General features: G+C 47.6%; 1 long non-coding RNA gene across 1 annotated transcript, besides 2 other annotated features; it reads left to right on the top strand.

The window, feature by feature from the left end:
• Nucleotides 1–2776: 2776 nt before the first annotated feature.
• LINC02457 (long intergenic non-protein coding RNA 2457) lies at nt 2777–8862 on the top strand. Its single transcript, XR_001749339.3, has 3 exons — nt 2777–3197; nt 3766–4838; nt 5206–8862. It is a non-coding gene; the product is annotated as a long intergenic non-protein coding RNA 2457 (long non-coding RNA).
• Nucleotides 5317–5817: an enhancer, noted in NCBI's record as "H3K4me1 hESC enhancer chr12:116956174-116956674 (GRCh37/hg19 assembly coordinates)". NCBI's record gives its function as "activates a minimal SCP1, AML or CMV promoter by ChIP-STARR-seq in naive H9 embryonic stem cells {active_cell/tissue: H9 hESC(naive)}" and the evidence as "EXISTENCE:reporter gene assay evidence [ECO:0000049][PMID:30033119]".
• Nucleotides 5818–6318: an enhancer, noted in NCBI's record as "H3K4me1 hESC enhancer chr12:116956675-116957175 (GRCh37/hg19 assembly coordinates)". NCBI's record gives its function as "activates a minimal SCP1, AML or CMV promoter by ChIP-STARR-seq in naive H9 embryonic stem cells {active_cell/tissue: H9 hESC(naive)}" and the evidence as "EXISTENCE:reporter gene assay evidence [ECO:0000049][PMID:30033119]".
• Nucleotides 8863–14446: the final 5584 nt, after the last annotated feature.

A 14446-nucleotide genomic window follows, 5' to 3' on the forward strand; every position in this document is an offset into this window, starting at 1 on the left:
GATGACTGGAGCAAGTTAACGGTCTGCCTGTCTAATTATCCTGCTGACTTGCCGGCTGCCTGTTTTTTAAAACAGCTGGAAGTTTGGGGTTTTAGGATTCCACTGTATTTGTTTCAGTGTCTTCTGCAAGAAACTAGCCTGTATCATTCTGACAGCACAAGAGGGTCTGCTCCAGTGAATTTTCATATGCACTACCTGGGTCATCTTGCAACCAACGCTTTTCTTCATTCAAATAATGATCCCAGGCCAGGCGTGGTAGTGCATACCTGTAATCCCAGCACACTGGGAGGCCGAGACGGGTGGATCACTTGAGGTCAGGAGTTCTAGACCAGTCTGGCCAACATGGTGAAACCCTGTCTCTACTAAAAATACAAAAACTAGCCAGGTGTCATGGCACATGCCTGTAATCCCAGCTACGTGGGAGGCTGAGGCATGGGAATCACTTGAACCTGGGAGGCAGAGGTTACAGTGAGCCGAGATCGCACCACCACACTCCAGCCTGGGTGACAGAGTGAGACTCTGTCTCAAAAAAAGAAAAGAAAAATGATCCCTTTACAGGGTATATTCATTTCCTTAGGCTGCCATGACAAATGAACACAAACTAGGTGGCTTAAAAAAACAGACATTTATTTTGTCATAGTTCTGGGGGCCAGAAGTGCAAAGTCAAGGAGTTAGCTGGGTCATGCTCCCTGTGAAGGCTCTTGGTGAAGATCCTTCCTTGCCTCTTCCAGCCACTGGTGGCCCCAAGATGTTCCTTGGCTTGTGGCTCCTTCTCTCCAATCCCTGACTGCATCTTCACATGGGTGTGTCAAATCTCTCTCTATCTTTTTCTCATAAAAGGCACTTGTCATTGGATTTAGGGATCCAGGGTGATTGATATGGTTTGGCTCTGTGTCCCTGCAAAAATCTCATCTTAAACTATAATCCCCTTAATCCCCACGTGTTGAGGGAGGGACCTGGTGGCAGGTGATTGGGTCATAGGGGTGGTTTCCCTTATGCTGTTCTCGTGATAGTGAGTGAGTTCTGACAAGATCTGATGGTTATATAAGTGTTTGACAGTTCCTCCTTTATGTACTCTCTCTCACCTGCTGCCATGTAAGACGTGCCTGCTTCCCCTTCCACCACGATTGTAAGTTTCCCGAGGCCTCCGCAGCCACGCAGAACTGTGAGTCAATTAAACCTCTTTTCGTTATGAATTACCCAGTCTTGGGCAGTTCTTTATAGCAGTGTCACAACAGACAAATACAATGATCTCACCTCAGGATCCTTAATTATATTGCAAAGACCCTATTTCCAAAAGAGGTCACATTCACAGGTGCCAGGTGTTCAGATGTGTATGTAAGTTAGTGGCGGAGGGGGGCATTGGGTCACCATTCAACCCCATTGCACAGGGACAGAAATCTTGCATATCTTGTTGATCTCAATCCCATGCATAAGCACAGTGCTAGGCACATGAGAGGCACTCAATGAGTATATGTTGCATGGATGAAGAATCTAGACAGGGCTGTAATGGAGAGGAGATTGGTTATCATTAGCACCCTGGTCTACAACTGAGCTGCCCATTTTTCAGCCCTAGCACACTGTGTTTAAATCCCAGTGAGACTCAAGGATTAGGCACTAGAGGAGGCAGCGTGCTGACACAAGGAAGAGTTTCAGACTTGGGGTCAGAGGACTTGCATGCTAGGTTTGGTTCTTGGCTGAATTGCTGAAACTGTCCAAGCCTCAGTAGCAAAACATGGGTGTTAACTACTCCCCACAGGATTGCCATTCAAGTTAAATGATATAGCACCTAGACAGCCCCTGATCCACACTAGGTACTCAGCAAATGCTGATTATGTTGCAATTATGTCATGATTTCATTCGACTCACTTTATATTTGTTCTCAGTTTTATTTCCAGTACCTAGCTGAATCGTTGACTGGTGTGATTCCAAAAGCTTGTGTAGGCTTTCCTTTGTGTCACAAGGAAATGTACAGCACCCTATAAAAGTGGCTCATAGAACAGGTTAAATAAATCATGGTACGTCTATATGCTGGAATGCTATGCAGCCCAGATCAAACGAAAGCTCTCTCTGCACTCCTCTGAAATGGTCTCCAAAAGATATTAACAAACAGAAAGAACAAAGAGGCATAACAGCATGTAGAAGATGCTATCATTTGTTAAACAAAAGGGGATATGCACTTACATTACATGTTTTATAGCATCAAATTCTTCTGGAAGCTTATCCAAGAGGCAAGTGATGGTGGTTTCTTCTAGTGAAGGAACTCAGGGGGCCTAGAGTCAGACAGTGAAGGAGATGTATGCTCTTTTTTATCTTATTTATTTTCACTGTACACTTTCTTGCAATGCTTGAAATTTTTCCACATATACATATATTACCTATTCAAATAAAGACACGCTGAATATACATACACTAAATTTTTTTTTTGGCCAGGTGCGGTGGCTCACATCTGTAATCCCAGCACTTTGGGAGGCCAAGGCTGGTGGATCACTTGAGGCCAGGAGTTCGAGACCAGCCCACCCAATGTGGTGAAACCCTGTCTCTACTGAAAATACAAAAATTAGCCGGGCGAGGTGGTGAGCACCTGTAATCTCAGCTACTCTGGAGGCAGAAAGGCACGAGCGAGAATTGCTTGAGCCTGGGAGGCAGAGGTTGCAGTGAGCCGAGAACGTGCCACTGCACTCCAGCCTGGGTGACAGAGAGAGACCCTGTCTCAAAAAAAAAAAAAAAAAGAACAAAAAGAGAACTAGCTGTTTCTCTCTCTCTCTCTCTGTAGTGTGAGGATACAACTGGGAACTAAAGCTGGAAGATGCCAGACATTCAGCAGGGAGTTCCCTCATCAGCAGCTGGCTAACTGGGGAACTGAAAGTCACAAGGCGCTCGTTTCTGATAACTCCATGAAAATTCACTCTGGGTCAGAAATCAATCTTTGGAGTTCTGAACATGCAGCTTTTCTCATGGGCCTTTTGGAGAACAATCAGCTACTCAGCCATCAGAGCCTTTTTTGCTGGATGGCAGGCAGGAACTGACAGCAAACCATCGTCTCTACAACACGCAGAAGATCAGCACCAAGTCTCCATTCTCCGAAAACATGTGTCCATGCAGCTCTCCCAGGGGAGGTCTGCGCTGCAGTGGAAGGCCCCAGGAGCGTGGGAGCCAGCTCATCGCATGAAGGAAACACAGAGTTGTACCTCCAGGTATCTAATTTGGAGCTGAGACCTATTCCTCTTTTGGCAGAGGACACTATTTCTTTTTTTTTTTTTTTTTTTTTTTTGAGATGGAGTCTTGCTCTGTCGCCCAGGCTGGAGTGCAGTGGCGCGATCTCGGCCCACTGCAAGCTCCGCCTCCCAGGTTCACGCCATTCTCCTGCCTCAGCCTCCCAAGTAGCTGGGACTGCAGGCACCCGCCACCATGCCCGGCTAATTTTTTTGTATTTTTAGTAGAGACGGGGTTTCACCATGTTAGCCAGGATGGTTTCGATCTCCTGACCTCATGATCCGCCCACCTCAGCCTCCCAGAGTGCTGGGATTACAGGTGTGAGCCACGGCGCCCGGCCCAGGACACTAGATCTTTATCCCAGGCTTGTTCTGTGGGACAGTTTGTGAGTTCCAGCATCGGCTGGTTCGTGAGAGGCAGCACTTGATGTGCAATGTCCCCTTTTGCCTCTCCTCCCATGCTACCAAAAGCAGCTGGTTCAGTGGCCACTGCCATCTTCCCTTGTCCCTGAGCTTTGGAGATGACTGTGTTTCCTAACCTCTCCTGCAGATGCCAGGCGGAGCGGCGACGTGACGCACGGTGGACGAGGAGCCAGGATGCCCAGCTCTGCTACCAACACAGAGTGGGAATTTGCACACCTCACATGGTGTCAGTTTCCAAATGCTGCTGTAATCAATTTCCACAAAGTGGTGGCTTAGAAAAACAGACATGTATTCGCTGACAGTTCTGGAGCCCAGAAGCCTGAAACCAACGTGAGGGTTCTAGGGGAAGATCCTCATTTGCCCCCTCCCAATTTGGTAGTTCTGGGTGTTCCTTGGCTTGTGGACTCATCACTCCAATCTCTGCATCTGTCTTCACATTGCTTTCCCTGCTTCTCTGTGTGTCCATTCTCTGCATGTCTAATTTGTAAGGATATGAGTGATTGCATTTAGGGCCTACTTGGGTTATCCAGGGAGATCCCCTCATCTCAAGAAAATTGATCTAATCATGTCTGCAAAGACCCTTGATCCAGATAACATTCACAGGTTCTAGGGATTTGATTGGGATATCTTTGGGGTGAGGGGGGATATTTTTCAGCCTGCCACACCCACTTCCCTTCTTCTGGCCTCTTCCAGAAAATGATGGCCCCTCTGAGCCCCGAGTTCCCCTTCAGCTTTGAAGTTCTGCAGGTGATCCTCAGACAGCCTAGCCTGCATTGCCAAGTTCACGACAATGTTATCTCAATAGAGTACCTGATATTTTTTCAAAGCACTTTCCCATCTGTTATTTTGCTTCATGCTCCTGATCACCTCTCGGGGCACACAGGGCAATTAATATTAAACCCATTTAATTGATGAAACAACAGAGGCCCAAAAACTCCTAACTCACTTTCTCCTTGAGTTAGTCAGCTAATGGGAACCAGGAGCAGGCCAGGTGGTTTCCCAGGGCATGCTTTTTTTTTTTCTCTCTCTCTTTCATTGTATATAGCCTTTCACCACCACAGGCTTTGTTCTGGAAGCCCAGGAAGGTAGGCAAGTCAAAGCTTGTCATGTAGATCCAAGCCCACCCTGAATCCCTGATTCATATCCCCTGGAGAGTGTGGCAGGAACTTCATTTGCACTCCCTGTGGTCCCAGGTGGCAGGTAAGCTCTCAGTCTCTGGCTGTATACTGTTAGAGACCTCTTCTTCCCGTGGGTAGCTTCCCAAGCAAGGGGGTTTTCCCAAACCTCAAGAACTGCAGGACTATCAGACATTAGCAGAATTAGATCTGCCTGGCCTCCGGGCCAAAAAAAGATTTCAATTGTTTCAGGACAGATTAAATTCAGGACTGGGAATAGGGCAGGGGAGGTCTTTTTTCGCAGTCCCACCTGCCTGTGACTTGCAGATCTGGACGAAGAATTTCCTGTCCTAACTAGGCCTCAGTTTCCCTGAAATAACATCGATTAGGTGGGAGTGGGTGTGGGTCAGTAGGATTTCCTCTTACCCCCAGCCCTTTTCAATCTAATTCAGAAATGAGGATGAAGCCAAGTGTTTGGAGTTCTTGCGAAGAAAGATACAACAGCCACACAAGGTATTATTAACTTTATTACTTGTCAGGAAGAGGTGGGGGAAGCAGTTAAGATTCGGCTAGATGAGAGGTGAGTGTACTGCATTACAATCTCTGGAGGGTGTGGTGGGCATATGAGCTGGAAAGGACCATTATTTATTTACTACTTTTGTTAAGTGCCTGTAATGTGCTGGGTGCTATGCTGGATGTGTGTGTAACACAGACACATAAACCATTCAGGGTCAACCTTGCGTGGGTGGGAGGAGGTTAAAAGCACTTGCATCTTCTTCTCCCTGAAAACAGAAACATCTTCCTCCTTGGCCTACCATGGTGCCAGCAATCTCCAGCATTAGCGATGGCTCCTTGGGGGTAACCTGCAGAAGCTTCTTAACTGGGTTAAGGCATCTTATTACCTTGCAGGAGTAAGGCAATCGCCAGCTCACTGATAGTACACAATGATTTCGCTCATTCCATCCACTCTTGGCCATTGGTGCAGCAGGAAGGGCCTTGGGGTCCTCCAATTTGGACAGTGGGGAGGACTTGGCCCTGGGCTGACAGATTGCTGCTTGGCAGGTTTATGGGAGCCAGGCGTCAGCATGGTGTGACGTGGGGAGGCAAGAGTCAATGCCAATGCAGGCAGCCCCCTCCCACCAAGCAAAGCGGCTTACAGACTTCGGAGAGGAAACAAAACATCTACATGCAAATGTTGAACCAGATTTCAGAGCAAGAGAGCAACTTCAAGAGCCAAGGCAGTTCCAACTACCAGGTGTTTAATACCTTTTCAGCTTGGGTGGATCATGGATCTCTTTGAGAAACTGAGGAGACAGTCTTGGATTCTCTCTCTGTCTCTCTCTCTCTCCCCCACCTCCCCCTCTCTTGCACCTTCTTCTCCCTGCAAACAAAATCAGAGTCCTGCTCTGTCACCCAGGCTGGAGTGCAGTGGTGCCACCTTGGCTGACTGCTAGCCTTGAACTCCTAGGCTCAAGTGATCCTCCTGCCTCAGCCTCCCAAAGTGTTAGAATTACATGCGTGAGCCCCCACACCTGGCCTGGATCCTCTCTTTTGTAGAAAATGCACTTGCATAGCAAACACACACACACATACACACCTCTCACTTTTTTAATGAAATGTCAGGGTGTCTGCTGATGCCTGAAGCACATCCGAGGGCCGCAGTGAGATATTCTTCTTTGGAAGTGCTCAACAACCCTGGGAGGTAGGTGTGGCAGGGTCTCTTTTCATACACCATAAAACAGAGACCCAGAGGCAGCTCGCAACTTGCTCAGGTCATGTATTAGTGAGCATCAGAGGCAGGCCAGGACCCCCAATTGCACAGGTCTAGGAAGCACCATTTCATCCAAGTCTATGTTGCATGCCAAAGAGTGTCACTGACAGAGAACACAGTGAGACCACTGCTACCGCCCTGGAGTTAGGCAGTGCAGCAGCTCTAGAGGACCTCAGCCAGGGTCTTCTGATAACCATTTACAGGCATATATGCAAAAAGCCCCACGGGGTGACAGAGGTAAGGAGTCCTGGAGGGGGATCAGAGAGGGATGCAATTGCCGAAGACTTGGATGCCTAAGCTTGCAAATGGAAGACTATTTCTAAATCATTTATTCATTCCACAGCTTCATAGGTGGAGGTGATTCATAGGTGGTTCCTATGTGAATTTCAGTTCCCCTTCCCCCCGACCTAGAGTAAAATCCACACTCTTATTTATTTATTTATTTATTTTGAGATGGAGTTTCACTCTGTTGCCCAGGCTGGAGTACAGTGGCATCTCGGCTCCCTGCCACGTCTGCCTCCCAGGTTCAAGCAATTCTCCTGCCTCAGCCTCCCAAGTACCTGGGATTACAGGTCACCACCACCGCGCCAAGCTAATTTTTTGATTTATACTAGAGACGGGGTTTCACCAAGTTGGCCAGGATGGTCTCGAACTCCTGACCTCAAGTGATCTGTCCACCTCGGCCTCCCAAAGCGCTGGGATTACAGGCATGAGCCACCGCACCTGGCCAAAATCCACACTCTTCATAGCGATCTCTGTGGCTCAGCAGGGACCCCTCCATGCCTCTCTGTCTCTCCTCTCTCTTGCCACTGCCTTTCTTGTTCATTACACTCCAGCAACCCTGACCTTCTGTCAGTTCCTAGCGCTTGCCAAGCTTTCCCCTCCCCAGGGCCTTTGCACTTGCTGTTCCTCCTGCCTTGGAAGATTCTAGCCCTGGCTGTTCCCAGGGCTGGCTCCGTCTCATCCTTCAGCTCTCATCTTGAATGTCACTTTCTCAGAGAGATCTTCTTTGACTTTATCTAAGAATATCCCTCCACTATTCTCTAGCCATCTGTTTCTTTTTAGCACGTATAACAATCTGTAACTGTTTTATGTCTTAATTTGCTTATGTATTTATTATCTATCTCTCCCTTGATCATAGAAAACATGGTAAAGATTGTAGCTACGGTGTCCTGTTCACCATTCTATCCCTAGCCCCTAGCACGTATTAAGGGTTCAATAATTGCAGACTGAATGACTGAAAGGCATGTTTGGAAGCAGAAGTATTCCTCGGCCACCACTTTATCTTACTTAGTGCAGTAATGCAATCAACATTTGGCTCCTGCTGTGATGCTACCCTGATCTCGGGCTGGTGAAAGCGTGACTCTCCAAGATGAGCCATCCAAGAAACCACATAGAAAAGATCAAGGTCCCATAACTTCAGCTTGGGGAAGCAAGAACAAATGTGGCATTCCTCACTTAAGAAAGAAGAGGCTGTGATGCTTGCTAAAAAAAAAAAAAACTTGTCAACTGGATCCATCATCAAAGGAAACTGCCCCATGGACAGTTTTATGACGTAGTCTGAAGCACAGGAAATGGGCGGCACGGGAGCATCGGGGGACTTTTAGAAGTTGTATTGCTTTCTTAAGAAAATGCTGCTGGCTTCTGGAACTGCAGTTTAATTAAATTCAGTTGGCTGGATACCTTCAAAGGCTGTTCCAGGTCTTCACCAGCCCTCACAGACGCAGGCATCTTCCGAGCAAATGTGTGAGCGAGAGAGCGGTGAAGCAGTCTCTGGCAAGACAAGGCAGGCATTCTCCAATCCTGGATCATCACACCCTGGCATGCGGCAGGGCAGGTGGCCAAGGACCTGAGCGTCCAGATCTTCCTCCACCCACCCCGCCCGGTCTCCATGTGTGACAATGGAGGGGAGACAATGCTGTCTTCATAGAGGTAGTGCAGAGATCAGGGCTATCAGAGGGGCCTGCAAAGGTGCACACAGACCCACTTTGGTCAATTTGTCAGCGGTGAAATCCGATGCAGGTTCTCCCAGGGTGACTCGCTGCCACCCCAGGGATGGAGTCTGCAGGTTTCTAGGGGCTGGTCCCCCAGGGAAGGAAGGTCTGAGGGCCACAGGAGCATTTTGGGAACTTGAGCTCTTCCAAACCAGTCTGTAACACAGAAGACGCTAGAAAGAACACTAACTGGGTCAGAGATGCAGTCCAGACACCATGGGGCATTCTGATTATCTTGATAAGATGTGAGCTCAAACATAGACCCTGTCAGATGAAATGTCTCAGAAAAGGCAATTTTCTGTTCAATCTAACTTTTAATTTAAAAAATAATAATAACAGGCAGGGCATGGTGCTTCACACCTGTGATCCCAGCACTTTGGGAGGCTGAGGTGGGAGGATCACCTGAGGTCAGGAGTTTGAGACCAGCCTGGCCAACATGGTGAAACCTTACCTCTACTAAAAATACAAAAAAAATAGCCAGGTATGGTGGCGCATGCCTGTAATCCCAGCTACTCGAGAGGCTGAGGCAGGAGAATTGCCTGAACCCAGGAGGTGGAGGTTGCAGTGAGCCAACATTGCACCACTGCACTCCAGCCTGGGCAACGGAGTGAGACTCCATCTCAAAAATAAAAATAAAAATAAAAAATAATAATAACAAGCAAAAATCTCACCCCCATTTCCCCACTTCCCAAAGAACTGAGAAAATAGCCTCTGGTCTCCAGGAAGACAAAACCAAACGCAAGTCCACCATCAGACTGAGCTGACCTTGGCTGTGCACCCGTGCAGAGCCCAGGACTATGCTAGGCGAGTTCACACCCTTGATCTCATTTGATTGTGTCGACAATGTTGAGAAAGAGATTTTGTTAAGCCCATCTTCCAGATGAGGAAATCGAGGCATGCCAAGGTAATTGTCACTCTCTCAAGATCACTCAGCTTGTAAGTAGCCAGAAGTATAAATTGAGATGATTTGAGATGCATTTGGCATTACTTTTTGGCAACATACTGCTATTGATTGTTGGCAGTTTGGGGTACTATGGATACAAGAGTTTTTTTTAAAAAATGCAGTCCCTGTCTTGAAAGAGCTCACTCTTTCTTTGACTTTTTTTGTTTGTTTGTTTTGTTTTTGTTGAGACAGGGTTTTGCTCTGTCCCCCAGGCTGGAATGCAGTGGCATGATCTCAGCTCACTGCAGCCTCCACTTCCCGGGCTCAAGCGATCCTCCCACCTCAGCTTCCCGAGTACCTGGGACTACAGGCATGCACCACCATGTCCAGCTAATGTTTGTACTTTTTGTAGAGACGGGATCTTGTCACGTTGCCCAGGCTGGTTTCAAACTCCTGGGCTCAAGTAATCCACCTGCCTCAGCCTCCCAAAGTGCTGGGATTACAGGTGTGAGCCACCGCACATGGCCTGTTTGACATTTATGATTGCATTTTACATATTGATGAATACATTTGTCTTGTTCCCTAATTTTGCTGCAAACTTCCAGAGTAGAGGCCTAGCCGGGCGCGGTGGCTCACGCCTGTAATTCTAGCACTTTGGGAGGCCGAGGTGGGTGGATCACGAGGTCAGGGGTTCAAGACCAGCCTGGCCAACATAGTGAAATCCTGTCTCCACTAAAAACACAAAACATTAGCTGGGTGTGGCAGCAGGCGCCTGTAATCCCAGCTACTTGGGAGGCTGAGGCAGGAGAACTGCTTGAACCCAGGAGGCAGAGGTTGCAGTGAGCAGAGATTGCACCACTGCACTCCACCCTGGGCAACAGTGTGAGACTCCGTCTCAAAAACAAAACAAAACAAAAAACAGAGTAGAGGCCTCACCTCAAAGTTTCCCAGGTACAGACCATAAATCCCTTGGGCAATTTGATAGAACTTTTTAGAATCGTGCTTTTCTTTCTTCTTTTCTTTTCTCCTCTCCTTCCTTTTTTTTTTCTTTTTTTTTTTTTGACAAAGTCTTGCTCTGTCTCCCAGGCTGGAGCGCGATGGTGTGATTTTGGCTCACTGCAACCTCCGTCTCCCAGGTTCAAGTGATTCTCCTGCCTCAGCCTCCTGGGTAGCTGGGATTACAGGCATGTGCCACCATGCCCAGCTAATTTTTGTATTTTTAGTAGTGGCAGGGGTTTCACCATGTTGGCCAGGCTGGTGTCGAACTCCTGACCTGATTGCCAAGGAAATCACTTAGACGGTAATAACGATACTGAAATATTAAAAACCAACGTTGTAAAATAGTAACAGGTAAGCTTATTTATTATCCACTAAGTAGCAAGATCTAACCCTGGTCTATCTACTACTGTAACTTCCAAGGAGTAAGGAGCACAACAATATTTTGATATATCTGCAGCAATTGATGGTGATACACACACATCTGTGATTTGTATGGGTGCCAAAGTCACAGGTACTGCTGATACCACGGCAGTTTGTCACTTACATTCCTAATAGAAGACAATGTTGCCATTTGATCAGAAGTTAGTGCAAAGCCAGGCACGGTGGCTCATGTCTGTAATCCCAGCACTTTGGGAAGCTGAGATGGGTGGATCACCTGAGGTCAGGACTTCGAGACCAGCCTGGCCAACATGATGAAACCCCATCTCTACTAAAAATACAAAAATTAGCCAGGTGTGGTAGCACGCACCTGTAATCCCAGCTACTTGGGAGGCTGAGGCAGGAGAATCACTTGAACCTGGGAGGTGGAGGTTGCAATGAGCTGAGATCGTGCCATTGCACTCTGGCCTGGGCAAAGAGTGAAACTGTCTCAAAAAAAAAAAAAAAAAAAGAGAAGTTAGTGCAAATAAAGATGTCATTTTTTTCCCGGGTTAAATTTATGGACCCCTGAATTCTACCTGTGCAAGGGTCCGAGGACTTCATGTTAGGGCTCCTGTTCATCGAGTGGCATTTCGCCCCAGTGTGCCCTTCTTACTAGCACCGAGGGCTGCTGAGCATCTCAGTAACCGAGCTGGGAAGGACGCGCCTTGGGTCTTAAATTTTCCATGATTGAGTGAATGGCTGCTCAGTTTTTCCATGTCATTGGGGAGGTTACGGGTATATGTCAAATTCCTGGTGGTGGCATTTGGGAATTGAGCCGTAAATGAAGGCTGGAGGGCAGAGTGGTCAAGGGCATATCACAGAGTCACAGGAGACCTAACTTCACATTCGGAACCCCCTGGCTATTTAGCTGTGTGTCCTTGGGCAGGTTAGGAATGGGTCAGGTCTCAGCTCTGTCACCTGTGCAATGGGGCTGAAGACCCTGCTCCTGGGTTTGCTGTGAGGACTCTGCGAGATAAGAGATGGAACATGTGGATACACCATTGGCATATGATGAGCACTCAACGTAAGGCGACTATTTGGCAACACCCCTTACTTCATTGTTTTATCTAGTACCTCTCTCCAAAGCTCGTGGAGTGCAACAGACAGCATTTGAGTTAGACCTTTGCAGATCGCTGCTGCTTTGTTCTCACTTGCAATCAGCTCACAGCTGGTAGCGTCCCCTCATGGGAGCTCTCAGAAAATTTGTCTCTTGCTCCCCATCCCCGGCCCCAACTTGAGTCATGCCCCAGGAATTTGGGAGAGGGCACCTTCAGCCAGTGGTGTGGCGATTTTTCCTTTCTTTCTCTTTCTCTCTTTTCTTTCTTCCTTCCTTCTCTTTTGTTCTTTTTCTCTCTTTCCTTCCCTTCCTTCCTCCCTCCCTCTTTCTTTCCTTCTTCCTTTTCTTTCTCTCTTTCTTTCTTTTCTTTTTCTTTCTTTCTCCTTCCATCCTTCTCTCTCCTTTCTCCCTTTCTTTTCCTTCCTTCTTTCCCTCCCTTCCTCTCTTTCTTTCCCTCCCTCCCTCAGTCCCTCCCCTCTATCCCTTCCCTCTTTCCCTCCCTCCCTCCCTCTCTTCCTTCCTTCCTTCCTTCTCTCTTTTTCTTTTCTTCTTTTCTCCCTTCCTTTCTTTCACCTTCTTTTTGTAATTGTGCCGAGTTGCTGAGTGAATCATTAAGGGAGCGAATTCCAAGTGCATGAGCGTCTCTGTGTTTCCCGGGACGGGTTTGGGCCAAGACAAACCTCTGTGATGCCAACAGCAGTTGCTTGAACAGTGGAGCTCAGAGCTGGCTTCCCGGCGCCGCTTGCAGGGGCTCTGTTTGAACTTTCTCCTCTCTCTTTCTACCTGGTGATTAAAGGAGCCACATGTAACTTTCTGCTTAGTCCTCTTTCTCCTTCTTTCCCGGTGCACACCCTGGGAAAGGCTCTGCGAAGTCCCACAGTGTTTCTTTAGGAGACTGGGCGGCCCCTTGATTTATGTTCACTTGGCAACGTAAAATTGAAATGGCCTGAGGACGCTGAATAACTGGAAAAGGGAGATGGAGAGGAGGCCTCTGGGTGTCTGATTCCATGTAGCTCATGCCTGGCCCTTCCCCCGTAGACCAGAGCCACGGACCTTGGAGTCCATGGGCAAAAGGAAAAGCAAATGAGGTGGCTGGAGTTGGAAAAAGAAGTCCAAAATTGTTCAGAGAAACTAGCATCATCTGTTTTTTCTGGGAGCCTGACGACTTTGTATTTTTTCCTCCTTCTTCCTTTCTCCTTCTCTGTCTTTTCTCTAGGGATCGCCTACCCATTTTGGATTTAATGCATAACCCATGGGGAAAAAGCAGAAATTTTAATCCCCAATCCGGCCCATGGTAGGGGCTCCATAAATGTTAGTTGAGTTAAATACTTTTTTATAAAAGAAGTTGGGGCCAGGCACGGTGGCTCATGCCTGTAATCCCAGCACTTTGGGAGGCCGAAGCAGGCAGATCACTTGAGGTCAGGAGTTCGACACCAGCCTGGCCAACATGGTGAAACCCCTGCCACAACTAAAAATACAAAAATTAGCCGGGTGTCATGGTGCACACCTGTAATCCCAGCTACATGGAGGCTGAGGTGGGAGGATAGTTTGAACGCAGGAGGCAGAGGTTGCAGTGAGCCAAGATCGTGGCACTGTACTCCAGCCTGGGTAACAGAGCAAGACTCTGTCTCAAATCATAATAATAATAAATAAAAGAAGTTGAAAGTCAACTTTTTTTGTTTGGTTCTGTGAAGTGTCTTGCCTGGGCCTGCAGAACCTGGGCTCATATCCCTCTGAAAGCACGGCTTGCATCCCATATAAACACTTGTGTCTGTTCTCAAATTACATTTTGAGCTATTTGAGGGCAGGGACTCTTCTTCCCTCCTTGACTCTTTCTTTCCACAAATATTTATTGAACACCTACTGTGTGCCATCATTATCTCCCTTCCACTCCACCCTAACTATTAGCATGTCTGTCTTTGAATGTTCGGGTCTCAGTGTTACATGAATAAATAAATGAATGGAAAAATGGAGTTTTAGGTGGGACTCCAGGAAGTGGACCAGGGTCTGAGGTTCTCCTGGAAGGCTTACATGTGGTTAACATCTTAGAATTGGGGCCAGGTGCAGCGGCTCAGGACTGTAATCCCAGTGCTTTGGGAGGTTGAGGCAGGAGGACTGCTTGAGGCAAGGAGTTTCAGACCAGCCTAGGCAACAGAGTGAGACTCTGTCCCTACAAAATTATAAAAATAAAATAAAATGAATTAGCCAGGCATGGTTATGTGTTCCTGTAGTCCCAGCTACTTGGGAGGCTGAGGTGGGAGGATGCCACGAGCCCAGGACTTCAAGGCTGCAGTGAGCTATGATTGTGCCCATGCACTCCAGCCTGTGTGACAAAGCAAGACCCTGTCTCTGGAAAAATAAAAAAAATCTTAGAATTGGGATGGAAGGCAACAGAGAGACAAGCTGGTCTCGGGTAGGAATAAGGACTGATAGTGATCAGTACCAACTTGGCTGCCATTTTGCCTTATGACTGGAAGATGTAACTCTTTGGACTGCGGTTGTTCTATCCCTAAAACGAGAGCAACCTCAAGATTTCTTGCAGATTTAGAGTTCTAGGATTCTCCAGAAA

Source organism: Homo sapiens, chromosome 12 (genome assembly GCF_000001405.40).
Source record: "Homo sapiens chromosome 12, GRCh38.p14 Primary Assembly".
In the NCBI taxonomy this organism is placed as follows: Eukaryota; Metazoa; Chordata; class Mammalia; order Primates; family Hominidae; genus Homo; species Homo sapiens.